This window comes from Homo sapiens, chromosome 16, assembly GCF_000001405.40.
Source record: "Homo sapiens chromosome 16, GRCh38.p14 Primary Assembly".
Classification (NCBI taxonomy): Eukaryota; Metazoa; Chordata; class Mammalia; order Primates; family Hominidae; genus Homo; species Homo sapiens.
Genome location: NC_000016.10, coordinates 2,218,218 through 2,239,401, shown reverse-complemented (window position 1 = coordinate 2,239,401; position 21,184 = coordinate 2,218,218). Strand labels below are relative to the sequence as shown.

At 60.6% G+C, this 21,184-nt stretch overlaps 2 protein-coding genes across 15 annotated transcripts, besides 6 other annotated features; both read right to left on the bottom strand.

The window, feature by feature from the left end:
• DNASE1L2 (deoxyribonuclease 1 like 2) lies at positions 691 to 2,958 on the bottom strand. 3 transcript variants are annotated; one of them, NM_001374.3, is made up of 7 exons: positions 2,842 to 2,958; positions 2,442 to 2,624; positions 2,276 to 2,364; positions 2,101 to 2,184; positions 1,753 to 2,026; positions 1,384 to 1,635; positions 691 to 1,040 (listed from the first exon to the last, which is right to left on the bottom strand). In NM_001374.3, the coding sequence occupies exons 2-7, from the start codon at positions 2,583 to 2,585 to the stop codon at positions 984 to 986; spliced, it is 900 nt and encodes a 299-aa protein (NP_001365.1). In that variant the 5' UTR covers positions 2,586 to 2,624; positions 2,842 to 2,958; the 3' UTR covers positions 691 to 983. The 3 variants fall into 3 exon arrangements, with proteins under 3 accessions (NP_001365.1, NP_001288609.1, XP_047289640.1); NM_001301680.2 differs by having other exon boundaries at positions 2,442 to 2,601; XM_047433684.1 differs by having other exon boundaries at positions 2,442 to 2,958.
• Positions 2,959 to 3,659: 701 nt separating this feature from the next.
• E4F1 (E4F transcription factor 1) lies at positions 3,660 to 15,811 on the bottom strand. 12 transcript variants are annotated; one of them, XM_005255155.2, is made up of 14 exons: positions 15,473 to 15,811; positions 10,879 to 11,030; positions 9,727 to 9,832; positions 7,038 to 7,231; positions 6,826 to 6,946; positions 6,494 to 6,646; positions 6,219 to 6,391; positions 5,755 to 5,964; positions 5,412 to 5,520; positions 5,014 to 5,231; positions 4,621 to 4,819; positions 4,401 to 4,543; positions 4,259 to 4,321; positions 3,660 to 4,186 (listed from the first exon to the last, which is right to left on the bottom strand). In XM_005255155.2, exons 1-14 carry the CDS (start codon positions 15,786 to 15,788, stop codon positions 3,830 to 3,832), a joined length of 2,514 nt encoding a protein of 837 aa, XP_005255212.1. In that variant the 5' UTR covers positions 15,789 to 15,811; the 3' UTR covers positions 3,660 to 3,829. The 12 variants fall into 12 exon arrangements, with proteins under 12 accessions (XP_005255212.1, XP_011520704.1, XP_005255213.1 ...); XM_011522402.2 differs by having other exon boundaries at positions 4,431 to 4,543; XM_005255156.2 differs by having other exon boundaries at positions 5,412 to 5,517.
• Positions 13,621 to 14,121: an enhancer, noted in NCBI's record as "H3K4me1 hESC enhancer chr16:2275282-2275782 (GRCh37/hg19 assembly coordinates)". NCBI's record gives its function as "activates a minimal SCP1, AML or CMV promoter by ChIP-STARR-seq in naive H9 embryonic stem cells {active_cell/tissue: H9 hESC(naive)}" and the evidence as "EXISTENCE:reporter gene assay evidence [ECO:0000049][PMID:30033119]".
• Positions 15,377 to 15,516: an enhancer, noted in NCBI's record as "active region_10260". NCBI's record gives its function as "activates an Ori minimal core promoter by ATAC-STARR-seq in GM12878 lymphoblastoid cells {active_cell/tissue: GM12878}" and the evidence as "EXISTENCE:reporter gene assay evidence [ECO:0000049][PMID:35858748]".
• Positions 15,597 to 15,686: a silencer, noted in NCBI's record as "silent region_7038". NCBI's record gives its function as "represses an Ori minimal core promoter by ATAC-STARR-seq in GM12878 lymphoblastoid cells {active_cell/tissue: GM12878}" and the evidence as "EXISTENCE:reporter gene assay evidence [ECO:0000049][PMID:35858748]".
• Positions 15,747 to 15,916: an enhancer, noted in NCBI's record as "active region_10259". NCBI's record gives its function as "activates an Ori minimal core promoter by ATAC-STARR-seq in GM12878 lymphoblastoid cells {active_cell/tissue: GM12878}" and the evidence as "EXISTENCE:reporter gene assay evidence [ECO:0000049][PMID:35858748]".
• Positions 15,977 to 16,116: a silencer, noted in NCBI's record as "silent region_7037". NCBI's record gives its function as "represses an Ori minimal core promoter by ATAC-STARR-seq in GM12878 lymphoblastoid cells {active_cell/tissue: GM12878}" and the evidence as "EXISTENCE:reporter gene assay evidence [ECO:0000049][PMID:35858748]".
• Positions 18,847 to 19,471: an enhancer, noted in NCBI's record as "H3K27ac hESC enhancer chr16:2269932-2270556 (GRCh37/hg19 assembly coordinates)". NCBI's record gives its function as "activates a minimal SCP1, AML or CMV promoter by ChIP-STARR-seq in primed H9 embryonic stem cells {active_cell/tissue: H9 hESC(primed)}" and the evidence as "EXISTENCE:reporter gene assay evidence [ECO:0000049][PMID:30033119]".

Here is a 21,184-nt window from a genome sequence, read left to right as displayed (position 1 = left end):
CCCTTGAAACAAAGGTTTTTCCTCCCATGCGATTCAGACCAAGTTACCACATCTTGCTAAGATGTGATGTTTCAAAAACCAGAAACCTCATCGGGCCCCAGTCAGTGACCCAGTGGACCCGTGGGCCTGCCTTTTCCCTATCCTAATGTGTCCTTGCCCAGGCACAGGGCAGCAGCCTTGAAGGGCTGAGCCACGGCGAGCTGGGCGGTTCTTTGCACGGGACCTTAGTCCCAAGCCACCTGCCTGGGCAGGGAGGAGTCCAGCCCGCCCACTGCTCTCAGGCTCTCCAAAAGCTCCAGGGCTGCTGACTAGCTGGGGCTGGCCTCCCCTTGCAGTGCTGGGTAAGACCGGGCTCTTGAGACAGACAAGTGCCTGGGGGCCCCTGCAGGGCCCTGGAATGGGGGCTGCGGGGTGGGCCTGGGGAGAGCTGTTCTGAGAGCCCCGAGGGCCCAGGAGGCTGGTGTGTTGGCGCCATCCCTGTCCCAGCTGTGCTCACAGTACAGGCTCCTGGGAGTGTTTGTAGTTTCCACAGAGGATGAGCAAGGAGCATCCCTGAGCTGCCTTCTGGGGCCAGCAGGCTCCGGGGGCAGCCACGTCCCACCAGGACATGGGGTGGGCAGCCCAGGCCATGGCTGCCCCTAAGGAGCTGAGGCTGGGTCCTAAGGAAGGACAGAGGCCTGGGAGCCAAGCTGTGGGGCCCGACCGGGAGCAGCTCATTTATTGAGCAGACATCTGCCGGGCAGTGCCCCCTGCACCCCTCATGGGGCTCACAACACCCCATGAGGTCGCTGGATGCAGCCCGTCCCACAGATGGGGAACGGAGGTACAGAGCAGCACATCACGTGTCCATGGCCCCTGGTCCACGCCCAGCCGACTCTGCCTTGGGGCCTCACTGAAGGGTGGCTGCCACCCTGAAGGGGCCACTGTTGGGCCATTCCTCAGAGCCAGGGTCTGCAGGTGGCATGCCCCAGCCAGGCCTCGAGTCATCGGTGGAACTTGAGGGTCACCTCCACTGGAAAGTGGTCGCTGATGGCAAGAGCCTGTGGGGACAGAGTGAGCCTCAGGGGAAAAGTGCACCCCACCCACAGGGATGGGAGGGGCCGGTGAGGCCTGGGTGCCCACCCCTGCTGCTGCCTGCGGTGGGGCAGGGGCAGGGGCCGGGGCAGAGGGTGTCACCACTGGCCCTTTGAGGGAAAGGCAAGGTACCCTGCCTGCCCAGAGCTCCACATGGGGTGGGCCGGGCTCTCCAGGGTCCTTGGAAACGAGCCCTGGTGCAGGGAGGAAGCTGAGGTGGCCCTGCCTTGGGCGCTGGACCCTCCCTGCTGCCTGCGTGCGCCCGGGCGGTGGGGACCCAAGACCAGCACCGCCCCACGGCCCACTCGCCTGAGTCTGGTCCAGGCCGAATTCCTCCTGGAAGTCGTGCACGGTGGCCGACTGGGGCTTCAGGCTCCGGCGCAGGCGGGCGCCACAGGCCACAATGCGGTCGTAGGCGCAGTCTGAGTTGCCCACCGTGGTGTCGGCGCTGTCAGGGATGAGCCACTTGAAGACCTCACTGCTCCTCAGACGGATGGCGGCCCAGTCCTGCGCCCGCACATAGCTGCAGTCGGCGTTGAAGTCGCCCAGGAACAGCATGTCCTGCGGGCGCCGCGGAGCCGTGTCTGAGCCGCCGCAGGAGCCGTCGAGGTCCCGCCCTCATGAACCAGACCCCCGGGGCGCGCCTGCAGGGACCCCGGGACCGAGGGGTGGGCTTACGTCGGTGCCCCACTTGTCGATCACGTCCAGGTACACGTCGTAGAGCGCGTCGATCTCCGCCACGGCTTGATGCGGCGCCGCGTGCAGCGGGATCAGCACCAGGTTCTGTGCTGCTGCGGGAAGGGGTGGGGGCGTCAGAGCTCGGCGGGAGGGGAGGGGCGGGGCCCGCTCACCGGTGCCGGGGGCCGAGAACTTGACCACGAAGGGCTCGCGGCTGAAGACGTCCTCGGGGTCTGGGTACAGGTAGGTGTCCACGACCGACACCGCGTCTTTCCTAGGAGATGGGGAGGACCCGCTGAGCCCCCGACCTGCGGCCCCGCGCGCCCCTCCCTGCGGCCCGCCCCTCACCTGTACACGAACAGGTACATCTCCTTGTACTGGTCCCGGCCCAGGGGCTGGCTGCTCACAAAGCTGTACTCGTGCTCGGACACGCTGCGGAGACAGGGGCCCGCTCAGGGTCGGGGCGCCGCGCCGGGGCGAGATCCCGGCGGGGGGTCGCGACGAGGGGCCCTGCCCACCACACCTGTTGATCTGCTCCATGAGCGCGGACACGGCGCTGAGGTCTGGGTCTCGCACCTCCTGCACCAGCGCGAGGTCATAGCCAGCCAGGATCTGGGGAGGAGCGGCGGGTGCGGGGGTCAGCGCGGTCAGCACCCCTAAACGCCGCCCCGCCCCGGCCCGGGCCCCACCTTCGCGATGATGCTGCCGCAAGCGGGGTCCGACACTTTGCTGTCACCGAAGCTCTGAATGTTGAAGGCTCCGATGCGAAGCGCGGCGGTCCCGGCGGCTTCCAGCGCCCAGAGTGCGGCCAGCAGAGCCCGGGGCCCGCCCATGGCGCGGAGCGAGAGGCTGGGAGGGACAGACGCTGCCGCCTACGCAGACCCGCTGTCAGACCCACCGACCCACCCCTTCCCTCCGCGGCCGCCCCTTGACGGCCAGTGCGACGCGGAATCCGCCCCTGCGTTCTGCAGGCTCCCAGGGCACTGCTGGGCTCTCAGGGACCGCTGCCTTCTCACTGCGCGGGAAGCTGCAGCCGGAATGGAGGGTCCGGCCCATCCAGCCCCAGCTCAGGGCAGCCGAGAGACTCACCTTGGATGTGGGTGCAGAGGCCCGAGGCTCAGAGATCCTAGGGGGATGGGGATCCCGGGTCCAGGCTGCGGGCGTGTCCGACACAGGACTGCACTGACTCCCTCTGGCAGTAGCTCTGGCACCAAGGCAGGGGCCGGTATTTGAGGTCCTGGGCCAGGGAGGGGCCGGGCTGCACTGGGTCCCGCCCCCTCGACTCAGCTGGGTGCCTGATGAACTCCTGGCTTTCATTCCCATGGAGACCCCCAGGGTAAGGGGTGGGAGACCTGCCTGAGCCGGTTCTGGTGCCCCAGACCTGTCCCAAAACCGTCCCAGAAGCCCCTGCCAGCCCCCTAGGAGGGAGGTAGACGGTCAGCCACATCCCGGTGCGGCTGTGTTCTTGTCCTCGCCCCTAGAAATTAGGTCGCCTAGACTCTGCCTCCCTGAGCAGAATCCCTTCAGGGAAAGCAAGGCAGCGCAGGTAGGACCAGCCACACTCCCTACCCAGCATCTCCTGCTGCTGCTCCACCTGCTCACCCTGCGGTGGAGGCCGAGGCTCCCAGATCTCCCTGTCCCCGTCCCTGGTCCTCCCACCCACCCACAGGCCTCAGGCAGCGCAGCTGGGGGCACAGCTCCAGCTGGGCAGGGCAGGAGGCTGTTGGTCAACATGCCAATGACACCCACACAGCACCAAGGCGCCGCCAGGGCTGGCAGAAGCCCCTGGGTGGGGCGGCCAGGCACGTGAGTCTAGGAGTGGCCTGGGAGGCAGGTGCTGCTGCGGGGGCCTGGGCAAAGGTGGTGGCACCAGCCGCGGAGGCTGCCACTGCCACAACATCACAAGCTGCAGGTTCTCATGTTTTATTGTAAAGCAACAAGAAACTCTTATGTACACTGTCCGTCTTGGGGCGCCTCCATCCTGTGCCATCTTCTCTACCAGGCCAGGCAGGCATGGGTGGGGCGCTCAGAGTCCTCTGCCCTGTCCCTGCCCGGCCAGGACCCCGCAGACCTCATGCTAGACGATGACCGTCTGCACCTCCAGCTGGCCCTCCGGCGAGGCGATGACCAGCTCGCCTGCATGCTCCAGGATCTCGATGTCCTCTGATGACACCATGGTCACAGTGGCCTGTTCAGTGCCACTTGTCCCTGCCCGGGCGGCAAGCACAGTGCCCTCGCTGATGGCCGAGGCCAGCGTCATGGCCACCTGCTCTGTCAGGCTCTCGGGGGTGGCGATGGTGATGGTGTCGGCGGCAGCCGCCTCTGGGCCCAGCGCCGTCTCCTCGTCCATGGTGACGTTCTGCACGATGATCTGGTGGCCGGCGCTAGCCTGGTGCACGATCTGCTGCACCACCTTCATGATGTGGCTGTCCACCTGCAGGGCCACGGCTCAGCAAGAGCGGCTGTGCCAGGGAGCCTCCCCGCCCCCGCCTGCCCTACCCCTCACCTCTGTCTGGGTGCCCTCGATGATCTCCGTGGCCTCACTGGTCTCCGCATCGTCCGCAGTGGCCTGGGCAGATGGGCAGAAGGACAGAGGTCAGCCTTGGCTGCCCCTGGGTCCCAGCACGGCCCCAGGGCCCCACACCCACCTCGATGATATACTCCTGGGTGTCAGCTACCACGGACGAGAACTCCACCAACACTGTGTGCGGGTCTTCCGTGAGGACGGTGGTGGCTGCCGCGGGGCTGTCCTCAGACACCAGCAACTCCTCCACCTCCAGCAGGCAGCCCCCTGTGGGTGGGGACTCGGTCAGGGCTAGGCAAGCCCCGGCCCCCTCCCCTCCCCCTCCCACCTCCACCGGCCCAGACCTTTGGTGCGCAGGTGCCGGTTCAGCGTGCCGTGCTCGGCGAAGCCACGGCCGCACTTGTAGCACTTGAACGGCTTCTCGCCTGTGTGGTGTCGCACGTGCCGCACCAGTGAGCCCTTCTCTCGGAAGCCACGGCTGCAGAACTGGCACACGTGCGGCTTCTCCTCCAGGTGTGTCCTGAAGTGCACCTGCTGTGCGTTCTGTGGAGACACCTGTCAGTGCCAGCCTGGCCTTGGCCACAACAGACTACAGCTCTCCCCTCCCGCCTGTGGCCCAAGGGAGGGGCTGGGTCAAGACTGAGCATGGTGGAGGCAGGGAAGGGGGTGCACCTGGGCCACGGCCAGGGAGCAGGATGGGGGGATCAGGCGCCAGGGTCCTGCGGCCAGAGACCCACCTTAGTCTTGTAGCGCTTGCCACACTTGGGACAAGGGTAGGGCCGCTCGTCTGAGTGGACGCGCCGGTGGCCACGCACATGGGCAATGGTCTTGTAGAGCTTCCCGCAGTCGCCACAGCGGAAGCGGCGCTCACGCACGTGCACCTCCTGGTGCTTCTTGAGCAGGTAGGCCTTGGGGAAGGCCTTGCCACACTGCGCGCAGGCGAACGGCCTCGGCCCTGCAGCCACACACAGCATCAGGCCAAGCCCATCACCCGCGGGCCCGCCAGGCCGCCTGCCACCTGCCCACAGATCCCCTGGCTCCCTGCTGTCTATGGACCCACCCTGGACACCCAGAAGCACCCCGGCCACCTATAGCCCATCCACTGCCATGGGCCACACACCCACCCATCACCTACCGGTGTGGCCCCTCTTGTGGGCCTCCAGGGTGGCTGCTGTCGGGAAGGTCTCACTGCACTGAGGACATGGGTGGGTCCTGGGCACCGCTGAGGCCTCGCTGGCCACCTGCTGGGGAACCACAGGAAGGTCTCCAGCACCCGGGGCAGGCTGTGCCCTGGCAGTACCAAGAACACAACCATGGGCCCCACCCTGGCAGGCTCCCTTGTGGCCCCAGGGAAGGCAGTAAACAGATCAATGGACAAAGTCACTGCAGAAAGCCACTTCAGGGAGGCGAAGGCCAGCGTGGGGACAGCCCCTGGGATCCAGCCCTGGGAGGAGCCCGCAGGTGGTGCTGGCACCTACTGTCTCCAGCGGCTGCACTTCCAGTACCGGCAGCTGCGGGGCTGCCACTGCCAGGGGCTGGGGACTGGACCCGGCAGCAGGAGCTGGCTCCAGGGCACCCTCCTCCCCAGCAGCGCGCTCAAGGACGATGCCGGAGTTCTGCATGGCCTGGTGCAGCAGGTTCTCACGGCTGCCCTCGCTGGAGCAGGGGAGCTCCTGGGAGACGGGGGGCTGCAGGGGAGGCAGAGAGAGGAGGCTGGCCAGGCAGCCTGGCATCCAGCACCCACCCCATGGGGCAGACGCACGCCAGGAGCCTTGTGCAAACCCTCAGACCCCCATGGCGCTCCCACTGGCCCTGCTCTCCCTGTGGGAAGCCCAGCCCTCGCCTGCCTGGCTCAGACCCCTGGAGCCAGTGCCCAGAACAAAGACTGGCACCGAGCAGGCAGAAGACAGAGCAGCCCTCCGGGGCCCCCCGTCGCCCCCACCTCTGGGGCCAGGGCTTTCATGCCCAGGGACAGCTCCTGCATCTGGACGTGGACTTCGTGGATGACGGTGCCCTTGGCATCTGTCACCAGGTGAATCACGGGTGAAGTCTCTATAGGCTCGCCTGTCACCGATGATGTGGCTGTCCCCAAGCCGGCAGCTCCAGCTCCAGAACCTTCAAGGTGGAGTGAGGGAGTGAAGATCCCTCACACACCCCAGTGGCGGCTGCGTCCACAGCCAGCCCCCAGGACCAGGCAGCTGCCCGCACCATGCTGACCTGCACGTGCGTCCTCTTTGCTGACAACCACGTCCTTGCTCACACTGAAGCGGATTTTCTCTGTGCAGGGGGTGAGAGACTTGAGGTGCCGGGTCAGTGCACCCGACTCCCGGAAGCTCTTTCCACACTTGGAGCACTTGTAGGGGCGCTCATCTGCAGAGAGAACCTAGTCAGCCCCGGGCAGCCCCAGCAGGCTGGCGACAAGGTGACAAGGCGAAGGCAGGCAGGGGCCCCCGCCTCATCCCCCAAAGCTGGGGAATGCGAGGCTGGGGCACCCCAGGGCCAACCATCGGGGTGCTACCGGGCTCCAGCCCGAGGTGCGGCCAGCTCACCCGTGTGCCGCCGGTGGTGCCGGATGAGTGAGCCCTTGGTGCGGAAGGAGGCCCCACAGAGCTTGCACTCGTGGTCCTTGCGGCTGCTGTGAGTGACCATGTGGGCCTTGAGGATGCTGCCCTGTGGGGGAGGGCGTGGCAGCTCAGGGCCCTCCTGGGGGAACAGGAGGGGGCCTGCCACCCACACACTGGCTCCCCGCACGCCGGCTCACCGTCTTGAAGGTCTTGTGGCACAGCGCACACACATAGCGGCCATCCTTGTTCACCAGTAGCTTCACCTGGGCCTGCTCACCCTCCCCTGCGAGCCCCAGCCCCTGCTGGCGGGGGCTGCCCGGGGCCTCGGCCATCTCACCGTCTCCCAGCTCCGCCTCAGCAGCCACGATGACCTCTTTGATGTGCCCACCACCTAGGAGAAGCATCTGGGCCTAAGCCCCAGGACCTGCCCCTGTCCAGAGACCCCAGAGACTGCTGGCTCCAGGGGAGGGGACCTGCTGCTCTGAGCCACACCCTGGACCCAACCTGCACTGAGCCCTCAACACACAGGTCCGAGCAACAGCCAAGGTCCCATTCACCTCTCCAGGTCAGAGTGAGAGGTGGAGAGACACCTCCCGACTCTGTCAGGCTGCCCAGAGATGCTCCAGGGCCCCTAAATGTGTCCACAGGGAGACCCACCATGGAGCACAGATGCCCCATCCCCAAAGCCAGGAGGACGTGCGAATCCTGGTGACAAGGTCCTTGGGTGAAGAGACAGCCGCCTGTCCTGCTCGCTGCCACTGCTCCTGCCACTGCTCCCACCAACATAGGGAGGATGTGCGTCCGGGGCCACTCTTCCATCGGAGGAGATGGGCTGGGCCACTGCAGCAGGGCAGGCAGGCCTGGCCAGAGCCCCGTCCCAAGGCAGGCTTGGCCTGGGAGAGTGAACGCTCTCCAGACACCCGGGACAGCCTGAGGCGAGGAAGCTGGGCTTTTGCACTTCTGGAGGATGCTGGGAAAAATCTGACAATGTGCAAAGCTAGGTTGTAAACACAGTTCAGGTTTTCTGCTCATAAAGATGACAAGTGGGAAACAGCTGTGAAGCCACTGCTTAGAAACCACCTCAGTCCGGCTGGCGTCTTGTTTTGACAAGCTGTTCTCTTGAAACACGACAAAAGCGTGGTGACTCAGAAACAATTAAGAGCCTCTCCTGCCCGAGCCCTTACACGCTCGATGCCCCAGGAGTGATCTTCCAAAGGACAGAGGCCTCTGATGGGGAGGACCTGGGGGAACATGGCTGCTGCGAGGCCAGAGGAGACGCGAACTTTTTCCGCGAAGCGGCAGGAGGGCCTGGAGGTGGGTTCCAACTGCCCACACAGCTGACCGCACCCCTGCACCCGCAAAGACAGGACCTGGCACGCCCCAGCCCTTGGCCACCAGCAGGCAGGACCCTCTGCCATCTCCACTAGAGGCCAACAGGAGAGCTAGCAGCCCTGGACTAAGCCCACCGGGCCTGCTGACTGGCCAAGGGCACACACAGAGTACCCAGGATGCCCGCAAAGGGGAAAATCCCAGGGGTGCCAGAGTGGCAGGGGTGCCAAGAGGGGCTGCTGAAGCACAGGGAGGGGTGCTGAGCCTAGGGCTGGAGGCTGCTAGAGTTTAGGTGGGTGGAAAGGGGCCTGGCTGGCCAGAGACCCAGCCCAGAGACCCCGCCAGAACCTAAGGAGTTCATGCTCCCAGGTGACGCCACCATCCCAGAAACCAAACGCCAGGTCAAGGCCAGAGCCCGCCCCACCTCCCACATGAACATTCCGAGCTCTGAGTGGCATTGATGAGTGTCTTGGTCGCAGGAATGCCAGGGAAAGGCAGCACGGAGGTGAGACAGGTGCCCTGGCTGCCTCCTGGAGAGCAGCCTGCTCACAGGTGCCCTTCCCAGGCCCCGGGTTGGCCTCCGCCACGGCTCCTCCACCCCCTCTTCCTGCTGCAGCCAGTCCCCAGGGCTGCCCAAGGCCAGGTTCCGCCTGGTGCCCAAACCTACTTCCTGTCCAGCTGCCCACTCCCCGCCTGCCTCAGCCCCGGTCCAGCAGGCTCCCCAGGCAGCAGCCATGCCCCGCCCCACCTCCCACAGCATCAGGTCCCTAGACAGCTCCTTCCCTCGCGTCTGCACACCTAGCCACTCGCCCCTGCCGCACCCCCAACCCCAGCAGCCCCTAGCTCCCTCAACCTGCCCAGGCCCTGGCTGCCTCTGAATGCCCCCCTGCACAAGCATCTGTCCCCGATGAGAGCCTGCCCATCCAGACCTCGCAACAGCCCCTCCCACAGCACATCAGGGAGAGAGACATCTTCACTTAAAAAGTAGCCATCAAAGAGTCCTGGCATTGCACGCTCATAAAAGCCCCATGAGGACCAGTGTAGCAATCACCACTCCCACACCAGAGGGAGCACTGGGGAGGGCAGGCCACGGCCAGCAGCAAGTCCGAGCCCAGCTAGAGAGGCGGGAGAGTCCCGTCCACCCTGTACCCACCCTCCAGAGCCGCTGCTGGGCGAGTGGGCCATTCTGGTGGGTGCCTGGTGGATGTTGCTGCCTACGGGCAGGGAGCAGGAACCAGGGGGTGGCAGGGAAGTGGGGAAGATTCTGGGAGGGACACGGCAGAGACCACCCGGGAAAGCTGACGGGAGAGAGCACAGCCCAATGACTCCCTGGTGCCTGGGTGTGCCCCCGGCCACTGTGGACACCTGAGGAAGGCCCAGTGCCCAACGCTTCCTCCTCCTGCAGGCTGTGCCCGCAGAAAGGCTGCCACGAGGCCGCGGCCCCTCCCAGCCAGGCCCTGGTCTCGGGAGAGACGAGCATACAGGCAGCAGGGGCCCCATCCTCTGGCCCCAACCACGAAGGTCTATCAGGCCAGCGATTCATGGAAGTCGGCTTACCAACAAGGTCAGATGCGTGGCTGATGTCTGCTGCCAGAGAGGCCGCCTCCACCACGATGTGGGCCACAGTGATGGGCTCCTCTGGGCCTGGTGCTGCCGGCACCACCTGCCAAAGGGGGAAGAAAACAGGGGAGTCGTCTGTATGCTCCAGAGTTAGTTCTCAGAGAAGAGGCCTGGGCTCTGCCAGTGTAAAGCTGTGGAGGTGTGACTTGTGGTGCTCAGGCCTGGGTCCACGTCCTTGGGACGGCTGGGGTGGGGGCTCTCCTCTTCCCCAACACGACCACCGGTCCCAGTCCAATCCCTTCACCCCCGGGCCAGGGTCAGCGCCGTCACTCTCACACCTCTGGCCACGTGGGCTGGACCTGGAGCACAGGGCGCCTGCAGGGAGGGAGCAGCAACTCTGGCAGGAAGCTGGGCCAGTCTGCAGGAACAATGGCACAGTCCCAGCCCGCCACATCCGGCAGAGCGGTGTGAGGAGAGGGCCCTGGAGGTGTGGGCCAGAGGCCTTCCTGGAGGAGGGGGCACCTCTGGGAGGAGCAGGTAAAGAGCACAGGCTCAGAGTGGGGTGTCCAGGGTCCAGCATCATCTGGGCCACGGCCCACTGGTGGCCAGAGGCCACTGACCACTTTCTGAGCCTGCTCTCCTGACCGTGCAATGCGGATGACAAGCGCCCGCTGCGGCGTGTGCGGGGTTCACAGGCCTGTGTATCCAGCCCAAGCTGGGCGTGGGGCTCAGCAAAGGTGGCCATTTGCTGATGAGATGGCGGGACCCCCCAGGGCCACACTTCACGTGTGAAGTCCCTAGGGACTGTGTGCACAGGACAGAAGATAAGCCAAAGAGACAGAAGCTGCCATGGTACCCCAGAGCCAAAGGAGACCCTCCAGCTCCAAGAAAGAAGAGATCCCGGCCCCCAACAGCACGGGCTTCGACCAGAGGCTGCCAAGAAGGCTGGGCCACCGCAGGCCCTCCAGGACGCCCCAGAGCACCACAGGCTCACACACCCGGACCCTCCCACACCGCAGCCAGGTGCCTGCCCTCTGCCCGCCCACGTGGCCCCCGGAACCGGCTGCACAGGTCCATCCTGAAGCGCGGCCACCTCCCCCACCTGTCAGGTGAACCCGGGAGGGGATGGGGGAGTGGGTGAGGGCTCACCTCCTGGCCCAGCAACGCTGTGGTGGCAGGGGTGGCAGGCAGGGCCTCCGGAGGGGCCCGCTGGCAGGCCTTCTGAATCTTGTGCTGAACAAAATCCTCCAAGGCGGTGAACTCTGCCTGGCAGCGGCCGCATCTGTGCACATCGTCCTCATCTGCAACGAGCCTGCTGTCAGCAGGGCCTGGGAAGGCGGAGGCTGGGCAGCCAGGGCTCCGTCTGGCTTTTCCTCCAGCCCTAGAACAGATTCCCCCAGGAGGCCATCAGAAGCAGAGCTACTTCCCCAGGCTGCTGAGAACACACTCGGGCCCAAAACAAGGTCATCCCAAGGTACAGCCCCTATCCTCTGCAGGTCTGCAGGGGCCAGACCCACCCTCAGGAGGTCAGCACCCAGCAGAGGGTGGCCCTGACAGCACGCTTAGGCTGCAGGGACCTGCTAAGGCTGCCATGCTCAAAACCCACCTCAGCGACTGACAGGCGAGAGGCCCAGAGAGGGGCTGGGAGGCAGAGGGACTCCTCCATGCTAATTTGGGGACAGTAAAGGACCAGGATTTAAGACTGCTGGGGCCGGGCATGGTGGCTCACACTTGTAATCTCAGCACTTTAAGGGGCCAAGGTGGGAGGATAGCTTGAGCCCAGGAGTTCAAGACGAGCCTGGTCAACATAGCAAGACCCATCTCTACCAAAAAAAAAAAAAAAAAAGTTTTTAAAACATTGTTAAACATTTAGGCTGGGTGTGGTGGCTCACACCTGTAATCCCAACACTTTGGGAGGCTGAGACAGGTGTATCACCTGAGGTCAGGAGTTCGAGACCAGCCTGACCAATATGGTGAAATCCCATCTCTACTAAAAATACAAAATTAGGGCGGTGGCTCATGCTTGTAATCCCAGCACTTTGGGAGGCTGAAGCGGGCGGATCATGAGGTCAGGAGATTGAGACCATCCTGGCTAACACCGTGAAACCCCGTCTCTACTAAAAATGCAAAAAACTTAGCCAGGCATGGTGGCAGGTGCCTATAGTCCCAGCTACTCGGGAGGCTGAGGCAGGAGAATGGCATGAACCCGGCAGGCAGAGCTTGCAGTGAGCCGAGATCACACCACTGCACTCCAGCCTGGGCGAAAGAGCGAGACTCCGTTTCAAAAAAAACAATATTAGCCAGGCTTGGTGGCGCATGCCTGTAATCCCAGCTATTCGAGAGGCTGAGGCAGGAGAATCACTTCAACCTGGGAGGCGAAGGTTGCAGTAAGCCAAGATCTCCCCATTGCACTCCAGCCGGGGCAACAGAGAGAGACTCCATCTCAAAAAACAAAACCAAAAAACAAACATTTAGCCAAGCGTGGAAGTGTGGCGGCATGCACCTGTAGTCCCAGCTATTCAGGAGGATTGATTGAGCCCAGGGGTGGAGGCTGCAGTAAGCCATGATCACACCACTGCACTTCAGCCAGGGCAACAGGGCAAGACCCTGCCTTAAAAGAAACAAAAACAAAACAAACAAACAAAAACTGCGGGAGTTTGAGCGTGCCCTGGAGCATGTGAGTGGCCATCTCCTCATCTGTAAAATGGGCTGGGGCCCAGGAGACTGATGCCCACTGGCTCTGGCTGAGAGGCAAATGCAGGGAGCTGACCCACAACCACTCTGCTCACTGACTTGGGACTTTACTGGTTCCCAAGGTTGAGCCCGTCACCATTGCTGTGCCGGACCCCGGTCGTGCAGAAGAGACCACCCCCTCACTGTGTGCCAAGCACCTCACTGGGGACGTCACCAAATCTTGCCAGCACCCTGTGGAAATGGAGAGAACTATTCCCATCCTAGGAAAATGACCTGAAGTTCAAGGTCACCAAACGGCTGAGTGTCAGGGACAGTACCTGTTTACACAAAGGGATAGGAGCTGTTTCTTCTGCTTCCATAAAAGCCTGCCAGCTCTGACCATTCACCTTCAGTCCCTCGGCAGGATCAAACCCAGGCCTGATGCCCGAAGGAGCTGGGCAAATGTTTACTGTTGAATTTGAGGGCGGAGAAAGGGCCAAACCACAGCTATGACTCGCCTGCAGGGGCCACCCAACAGAGTCGTCCTCTCCTGATGGCTCCCAGTCACAAACCAAGCTCTAAGGTGCCCACCACCCTCTTCCCCTTCCCACCCTACTCCTGTGTCTCACTCGGCTCCAGGGCATTGCCACTGAAGAACCCCCTACCCCAGAAGGGGACACACCCAGCCCATTTCACACCAGACAAGGCCACAAGCAGGCCCAGCAACCTCTAAAGGGACTCCTCGCCATGAGGGCACTGCCCTTCTCCAAGCTGGAACGAGAAGGGGCAAGGAAAAAAGGCAGAGACTATGAATCCTATGGGGACAAAGACAAGACCACCCTCAACCCAATCATTAACAACCTCCCTTCCTGTCTGACCCAATCTGCATCTTTTTTTTTTTTCTTTCAAGGCGGAGTCTCGCTTTGTTGCCCAGGCTGGAGTGCAGTGGGGCGATCTCAGCTCACTGCAAGCTCTGCCTCCTGGGCTCATGCCATTCTCCTGCCTCAGCCTCCTGAGAAGCTGTGACTACAGGCGCCTGCCACCACGGCCAGCTAATTTTTTGTATTTTTAGTAAGACAGGGTTTCACCTGTTAGCCAGGGTGGTCTCGATCTCCTGACCTCGGGATCCGCCCGTCTCAGCCTCCCAAAGTGCTGGGATTACAGGCGCGAGCCATTGCGCCCAGCCTTTTTTTTTTTTTTTTTTTTTTCCTAAACAGAGACTGGGAGGAGCCGGGCACGGTGGCGCACGACTGTATTCCCAGCACTTTGGGAGGCTGAGGCGGGCAGATCACCTGAGGTCGGGAGTTCAAGACCAGCCTGGCCAACATGGAGAAATCCAGTCTCTACTAAAAATGCAAAATTAGCCGGGTGTGATGCCGCGTGCCGTAATCCCAGCTACTCAGGAGGCCGAGTCAGGAGAATAGCTTGAACCCGGGAGGCGGAGGTTGCGGTGAGCCGAGATCGCACCATTGCACTCCAGCCTGGGCAACAAGAGAGAAACGCCGTCTCAAAAAAAAAAAAAAAGAAAATAGAGACGGGGTCTTACTATGTTGCCCAGGCTGGTCTGGAACTCCTTGGGCTCAAGTGATCCTCTCACCTCAGCCTCCCAAAGTGTTGGGGTTACAGGTATGAGCCACAGTGCCCAGCCATCTGCAGCCTCATAGGACAAGCTCAGAGGGTACAGACCCAAGCTCCATCTCCAAAAGCTCTCAGTGCCCCCAGGAATGAGCCCTTAGTGCATCCCCAACACTGCTCTCGGCACATGACACACAATCTTTTTTCTTTTTTTGAGACAGTCTTGCTCTGTCACCCAGGCTGGAGAGCAGTGGTGCGATCTCGGCTTACTGCGACCTCCGTCTCCTGGGCTCAAGCAATTCTCCTACCTCACCTTCCCAAGTAGCTGGGATTACAGACGCGCACCACCACGCCCAGCTAATTTTTGTATTTTTAGTAGAGAAGGGGTTTCACCATGTTGGCCAGGCTGGTCTCGAACTCCTGACCTCAGGTGATCCACCCACCTTGGCCTCCCAAAGTGCTGGGATTACAGGCGTGAGCCACTGCGCCTGGCCACAATCTTTATTTTAATTCCCATGATGCTTCTATGAGGCAGCAGAGCCCGGAAGTTAAAGGGGCTGTGAAGGCCTTCACAGTGCTGAGATCCAATCCAACCCTTGCTACTTAACTACCTGGGTGACCCTGGTCATTTTCTTTTCTTTTGAGACGGAGTCCGGCTCTGCCGCCCAGGCTGGAGTGCAGTGGCGCGGTCTCGGCTCACCGCAAGCTCCACCTCCCGAGTTCACGCCATTCTCCGCCTCAGCCTCCCCACTACAGGCGCCCGCCACCACGCCCGGCTAATTTTGTTTTTTTGTATTTTTAGTAGAGACGGGTTTCACCATGTTGGCCAGGATGGTCTCCATCTCCTGACCTCGTGACCCGCCCGTCTCGACCTCCCAAAGTGCTGGGATTACAGGCGTGAGCCACCGCACCCAGCCCACCCGGTCACTTTCAGGTCTCCAACCTTCGATTTTCCTCATCCCCAAAATGAGAATAACAATAACATCCACCTGTCAGGACTGGTTTGAGAATGAAAAAACCTAAAGCAGGATAAGGGCTTGTTACATTACTGGCAGAAGCCGCCGCCCCATTCTGTAGGGGAAATAGAGGTTCACAGAGGTAGGGTCACCTACCCAGGATCAAAGAACTAGAAAGCGGCAAGTGTGGGACTGGAAGGGGCCACAGGCTGGCTGCAGTGCACCAGCCCTCTTGCACTAGGCTCTGCTGCCTCCCTACGGACAGGCCCAGAGCCCAGATCCTGGAGAAACCGAGGCCCCACCCTCTTGGAACCACCAACAGGGCCCTAGACGCCCATCAGGTGCAGGAGGAAGGGGCCCAGAGGAGGGGAGGGCCAGGCTCAGGCATCGGAGGCAGAGAAGGGCCGGGACGCCGGCGTCTGCGAATGTCTACACCGGGCGCCCGGGGGCTCAGCAACCCGCGAGCACTTGTGGACGCACACCAGAGAGGGGGGATGACAGGCGCCCCGCAGGAGAGGCCCGTGAGGGTCGCAGCAAACCTGGGGGTTTCGTGGAGGGCTGTGAGGGTCCCGCGAGATCCGCGAGGTGTCTGGGTCTGGGAGGGTCGGTCGAGCCCGCAGCTCGGGCCATCCGGGCCTCTGCCAGCCCGGGATGAACTGCCCGCACCCCGGCCGCACCCTCCGGGTCGGCCCGGTTACCTTCCTCGCTGAAGGGCGCCGGGAGGCCGAGGAAGCCGCTGGGGGCCAAGGCCGCCGCCACCGCCGCAACTGCACCCTCGCCCGCTTCCCGCCCGGCTTCGGCCTGGGCTTCTGCCGTATGAGCGGCCGTCACCCGCACTGCCATCGCGCCCTCCATGTCGCAACGCGCCGCAGGAAGATGGCGGATTTACGACCATGTCGTCATAACAACGGGCCGCGCCGAGGCCAGCGTGAGGGAACGGCAAGAGGAGGGCGGGGCAGAACCGGAGCGGATTGACGGACAGGCGGGGAGCCGGGCCTGGATAGCGGTGTGGCCTTAAAGGGCAGAGGCGGGGCCGGGCGCGCTGAGAGCGAAGATGGGGCGGGACTGTGGGGAGGGCGTGGTTACGGTGGAGCAGATTGCCAGCCAGGGGGCGGGGCGGCAGAAGGACCTATGTTCGAGGCTGCACTCGGATTTGAGAGCCAGAGAACGCGAGGGGCGAGCGGACTGGCGGCTGCTAGGCAGCCGCGCCCCAGCGCTTCCGTACCTAAGGACAGGTCGCCCCGCCCGCGGCTGCTGCTGGGAAGCCGCCACAGCTCCAACCAGGGGTGTGGTGCCTGCTGCCCACTGACCGCCTAGGGTGTTAGAGCCTCCCAAGATGGTTACCCGGGTCACGGGAAAAGAACACGGGTCGGGGATGGCTCATGGGTAGCTCTGCGAAGCTGTTTTATTCTTTTATATACTTTTAATTTTTTTTTCTTTCTTTTTTGAGACGGAGTCTCTTTCTATCGCCCAGGCTGGAGTGCAGTGGCGCGATCTCGGCTCACTGCAAGCTCTGCCTCCCGGGTTCACGCCATTCTCCTGCCTCAGCCTCCTGAGTAGCTGGGACTACAGGTGTCCGCCACCACGCCAGGCTAATTTTTTGTATTTTTAGTAGAGACGGGGTTTCACCGTGATAGCCAGGATGGTCTCGATCTCCTGACCTCGTGATCCGCCCGCCTCGGCCTCCCAAAGTGCTGGGATTACAGGCGTGAGCCACCGTGCCCAGCCACTTTTTAAATTTTTTAAAATTTATTTGCATTATGTATTTTAAATAGAGACAGGGTCTTGCTGTTTAGACTAGGCTGGTCTCAAACTCCTAGCCTCAAACCATTTTCCCATTTCGGCCTCCCAAAGTGCTAGGATGACAGGCGTGAGCCACGACTCCCAGCCACGTTGAATTTTTGGTTTTGGAGATGGGGGTTGTTTTTGGTTTTTGTTTGTTTGGGGTGTTTGTTTTTGAGACAGAGTCTCACTCTATCACCTAGGCTGGAGTGCAATGGCGCGATCTCACTGCAGCCTCCGCCTCCTGGGTTCAAATGATTGTCCTGCCTCAGCCTCCCGAGTAGCTGGGACTACAGGAGTGCACCACCATGGCCAGCTAATTTTTGTATTTTTAGTAGAGACAGGGTTTCACCATGTTGGCCTAGATGGTCTCAAGCTCTTGACCTCACGATCTGCCCGCCTCGGCCTCCCAAAGTGCTGGGATTACAAGCATGAGCCACCGCGCCCGGCCTGTTTTTGTTTTTTGAGATGGAGTCTCGCTCTGTCACCTAGGCTAGAATGCAACGGCACGATCTTGGTTCACTGCAATCTCCGCCTCCCAGGTTCAAGCGATTCTCCTGCCTCAGCCTCCTGAGTAGCTGGGACTACAGGCAACTGCCACCACACCCGGCTAATTTTTTTATATTTTTAGGAGAGACGGAGTTTCACCATGTTGGCCATGCTGGTTTTGAACTCCTGACCTCAGGTGATCCGTCCCCCTTGGCCTCCCAAAGTGCTGGGATGACAGGCATGAGCCACCGAGCCTGGCCAGATTTTTTTTTGAAACAGCACCTTGCTCTGTCGCCCAGGCTGGAGTGCAGTGCCGTGATCTCAGCTCACTGCAGCCTCTACCTCAACCACCCAAGTAGCTGGGACTACAGGTGCCCATCACTAGCTAATTTTTGTATATTTTGTAGAGATGGGTTTTTGCCATGTTGCCTAGGCTGCTATAGAACTCCTGAGTTCAAGCGATCTGCCTGCCTCAGCCCTCTTACATACTTTTAAAAAATTGTGGGCCAGGCACAGTGGCTCACTCCCGTAATCCCAGCACTTTGGGAGGCTGAGGTGGGTGGATCACCTGACATCAGGAGTTCAAGACCAAGCAGGCCAACATGGCAAAATTACGTCTTTACTAAAAATACAAAAATTATCTGGGTGTGGTGGTGCACGCGTGTAATCCTAGCTACTCAGGAGGCTGAGGCAGGAGAATCGTTTGAACCTGGGAGGCAGAGGTTTCAGTGAGCCGAGATCGTGCCACTGTACTCCGGCCTGGGCAACAGAGCAAGATTCCGTCTCAAAAAAAACTGTGGTAAGTGCACATAAAATTTACTATTAGCGACATTCACAGTGTTGTGCAACTATCACAGCTATGTGGGTACAGAACCTTTCCGGCACCCTGAAAGGAAACCTGTGCCTTTGAAGCAGTGATTCCCCATCCGCCCCTCCCTGCCAGCCCTGGGTAGACGCCAGTCTACCTTCTGCCTCCATGATAAATTTACCTGTTGTGAACATGTCCTACAATATGTGACTTTCATTGTTTGTTTTTTGAGGGTCTCACTCTGTCATCCAAGCTGGAGTGCAGTGGCATGATCTCGGCTCACTGCCACCTCCGCCTCCCGGGTTCACGCCATTCTCCTGCCTCAGCCTCCGGAGTAGCTGGGACGACAGATGCCCGCCACCATGCCTGGCTAATTTTTTTGCATTTTTAGTAGAGATGGGGTTTCACCATGTTAGCCAGGATGGTCTTGATTTCTTGACCTCGTGATACGTCCGCCTTGGCCTCCCAAAGTGCTGCGATTACAGGCGTGAGCCACTGCGCCTGGCCCTGTTTTGTTTGCTTTGAGATAGGGTCTCACTCTGTCACCCAGGCTGGAGTGCATTGGTGTGATCCTAGCAGCCTCCACCTCCAGGCTCAGGTAAGGTGATCGGCAGTCAGGTTGGGGTAACAATGGGCCCGCTTTCTGCAAGTAGGTTGCTCACCACTGCAAGGTTTTGAGCAGAGGGAATGATGGTGGGTGTTGCAGAAACATCCCTCTAACTGCTGCACAGAAAAAGGGACTTTAGGCCGGGCCCAGTGACTCACGCCTGTAATCCCAACACTTTGGGAGGCTGAGGCGGGCAGATCACCTGAGGTCAGGAGTTCAAGACAGCCTGACCAATATGGTGAAAGCCCGTCTCTAGTAAAAATACAAAAATTAGCCGGGTGTGGTGACGGCTGCCTGTAGTCCCAGCTACTCGGGAGGCTGAGACAGGAGAATGGCCTGAACCCGGGAAGCGGAGGTTGCAGTGAGCCGAGATCTCGCCACTGCACTCCAGCCTGGGTGACAGATCGAGACTCTGTCTCAAAAAAAAAAAAAAAAAGGGGATTTTAGGGCTTAAGCAGAAGCAGGAAGGGGCTCAGAAAGCCACTGAGAGCCAGAATGGGTGGTCTCTGAGTGGGGCAAACAGAACGAAGAGCAGGTTGGAGCTTTTGGAGCTTGAGGGTTCTGGGGAGCTGCTGGGGAGGAGGACCAGGAGACAGGTGGGTGAGGTGAAGCCATGGAGGAGGTGAGTGCAGAGCCCCAAAAGACCTCCATTCATGGTGTGCTGAGGAGTAACTGAGAAGCCGGTATCCAGGGGATTTAGGGGTATGGATGGGATGATTGTCCCCTCTAAACTCATGCTGAAACTTTATCCCCAATGTAACAGCATTAAGAGGTGAGGCCTTCAGCCGCCCCATCCGGGAGGGAGGTGGGGGGGTCAGCCCCCCGCCCAGCCAGCCGCCCCGTCCGGGAGGTGAGGGGCGCCTCTGCCCGGCCACCCCTACTGGGAAGTGAGGAACCCCTCTGCCCGGCCACCACCCCGTCTGGGAGGTGTGCCCAACAGCTCATTTAGAACGGGCCAGGATGACAATGGCGGCTTTGTAGAATAGGAAGGCGGGAAAGGTGGGGAAAAGATTGAGAAATCGGATGGTTGCCGTGTCTGTGTAGAAAGAGGTAGACATGGGAGACTTTTCATTTTGTTCTGTACTAAGAAAAATTCTTCTGCCTTGGGATCCTGTTGATCTGTGACCTTATCCCCAACCCTGTGCTCTCTGAAACATGTGCTGTGTCCACTCAGGGTTGAATGGATTAAGGGCGGTGCAAGATGTGCTTTGTTAAACAGATGCTTGAAGGCAGCATGCTCCTTAAGAGTCATCACCACTCCCTAATCTCAAGTACCCAGGGACACAAACACTGCGGAAGGCTGCAGGGTCCTCTGCCTAGGAAAACCAGAGACCTTTGTTCACTTGTTTATCTGCTGACCTTCCCTCCACTATTGTCCTATGACCCTGCCAAATCCCCCTCTGTGAGAAACACCCAAGAATGATCAATAAAAATAAAAATAAAAATAAAAATAAAAATAAAAAAAGAGGTGAGGCCTTTAAGAGGCAAAGGGGGCCGGGAGCGGTGGCTCACGCCTGTAATCCCAGCACTCTGGGAGGCCGAGGCAGACGGATCATCTGAGGTCAGAAGTTTGAGACCAGCCTGGCCAACACAGCAGAAACCCCCATCTCTATTAAAAATACAAAAGTTGGGCCGGGCACGGTGGCTCATGCCTGTAATCCCAGCACTTTGGGAGGCCGAGGCGGGGGGATTAAAAGGTCAGGAGTTCAAGACCATCCTGACCAACATGGTGAAACCCCGTCTCTACTAAAAATACAAAAATTAGCCAGGCCTGGTGGCATGTGCCTGTAATCCCAGCTACTCAGGAGGCTGAGGCAGGAGAATCGCTTGAACCTAGGAGGTGGAGGTTGCAGTGAGTCGAGATCATGCCATTGCACTCCAGCCTGGGCAACAGAGCGAGACTCTGTCTCAAAAAAAAAAAAAAAAAAAAAAAAAAGTTGCCGGGCGCGGTGGCTCACGCCTGTAATCCCAGCACTTTGGGAGGCCAAGGAGGGCGGATCACGAGGTCAGGGTATTGAGACCATCCTGGCTAACATGGTGAAACCCTGTCTCTACTAAAAAAAAAAAAAAAAAATCAGCCGGGTGTGGTGGCACACGCCTGTAGTCCCAGCTACTCGGGAGGGCGAGACAGGAGAATCGCTTCAACCCGGAGGCGGAGGTTGCAGTGAGCCGAGATCGCGCCACTGCACTCCAGCTTGGGCAACAGAGCGAGACTCGGTCTCAAAACGAACAAAAAAAAAATACAAAAGTTAGCCAGGTGTGGTGACACACACCTATAATCCCAGCTACTAGGGAGGCTGAGGCAGGAGAATTGCTTGAACCTGGTGGGGCGGAGGTTGCAGTCAGCTGAGATGGCACCACTGCCCGCCAGCCTGGGTAACAAAGTGAGACCGTATCTCAAAAAGAAAAGGGCATCCTGATCAGGTGACCTCAGGCCCTGCTTTGCCCAGAGCCCAGGCCACTGGCAAGCATGGGAGTGGATAGACCCTTGGAAGGCAGAGAGGCCAGGCACAGGCAGCAAGACTAGACCCTCCCTTTCTCCAAACGGCCTCCTTTCCCATGCAG